Source organism: Homo sapiens, chromosome 5 (assembly GCF_000001405.40).
Source record: "Homo sapiens chromosome 5, GRCh38.p14 Primary Assembly".
NCBI lineage: Eukaryota > Metazoa > Chordata > Mammalia > Primates > Hominidae > Homo > Homo sapiens.
The window spans coordinates 44,261,846-44,263,124 of NC_000005.10; the positions used below are offsets into that span (position 1 = coordinate 44,261,846).

The following is a 1,279-nucleotide window of genomic DNA, read 5'->3' on the forward strand; positions in this document are numbered from 1 at the left end:
TTCTTAACTATATCTATCTTCTAGTTCATCCAAATTCACAGAGACTTGGGCTATAAATAAAAGATCTGTGTAATACTTTAAATTGTCCAAACATTTTTTCATTTATTATGATAGGTAAAGGTGAGTCTGACTCTTAAAAAGTGAGGAAAGTGAGGCTTGGAGATATTCTATGACTCTCCCAAGATCATACAGCTATTTAGTGGCAGGATGAGGAATGGGCCTTAATGGTTTTTCAAATGTGCCTGAGGAACCCCATTATTTTTTTTGAGAGTCCCCCTCTGCGCTCTGTCATCACCCAGGCTGGAGTGCAGTGCCTCCTTCTCGGCTCACTGCAACTGCCACCTCCTAGGTTCAAGCAATTCTTCTGCCTTAGCCTCCCGAGTAGCTGGGACTACAAGTGCCCACCACCACACCTGGCTAATTTTTTTTTTTTTTGTATTTTAGTAGAGACAGGGTTTCACTCTGTTGCCCAAGCTGGTCTCCAACTCCTGAGCTCAGGCAATCCGCCCACCTCGTCCTCTCAAAGTGCTAGGATTACAGTCGTGAGCCACAGCGTCCAGCCCCAACTCAGTTTTAAGAGGACATTCTACAGCTTTCGTTAGTATAGTATTTTGTACTTACGCAGTAGTATTGATATGGTAGTATTGATATGATATGGCCGCTTCCCCCATGCTGCTCTTGTGATAGTGAGTTACTTCTCAAGAAATATGATGGTTTTATAAGAAGCTCTTCCTCTTTCGCTCCTCACTCTTCTCTCTCCTGCCGCCTTATGCAGGAGGTGCGTGCTTCGCCTTCTGCCACGATTGTAAGTTTCCCGAGGCCTCTGCAGCCATGCAGAACTGTGAGTCAATTAAACCTCTTTCCTTTATAAATTGTCCAGTCTTGGTTATTTCTTTATAGCAGTGTGAAAATGGACTAACATAAGTATGTTCCCTCTTAGAAAGCTGAAAACTATCATTTCTATTTTTAAAATGAGGAAATTGAAGCTTAGAATAATTAAGAGACTTCCTGCACAAGACATGGCTAGAAGGTTCAGCTGCCAGGACCAGAAGTCTGGGTCTTAGGCTTCTAATTTAGGTGCTAAAGCAATGGTTCTCCTGGGACTGAGGCATTGTGGGGTGCCTCAGTGGATGTCGGGGGACATCACTAAATATTGTAAATTTTCAAAGGAACTAAAGTAACATATTTTGGATGTACATGAACTACTAATGCTTTCAACCTTAGGTTTTTTAATGTTCTATTTGGTTGCATTATATCTTTATGAAGCTGGGTTTTGTAA

General features: G+C 41.8%; 1 annotated feature.

Moving 5' to 3' along the window:
- Window positions 722-888: a silencer, noted in NCBI's record as "fragment chr5:44262669-44262835 (GRCh37/hg19 assembly coordinates)". NCBI's record gives its function as "represses an EF-1alpha promoter that drives an FKBP-Casp9 reporter gene in an ReSE screen in HepG2 liver carcinoma cells {active_cell/tissue: HepG2}" and the evidence as "EXISTENCE:reporter gene assay evidence [ECO:0000049][PMID:32094911]".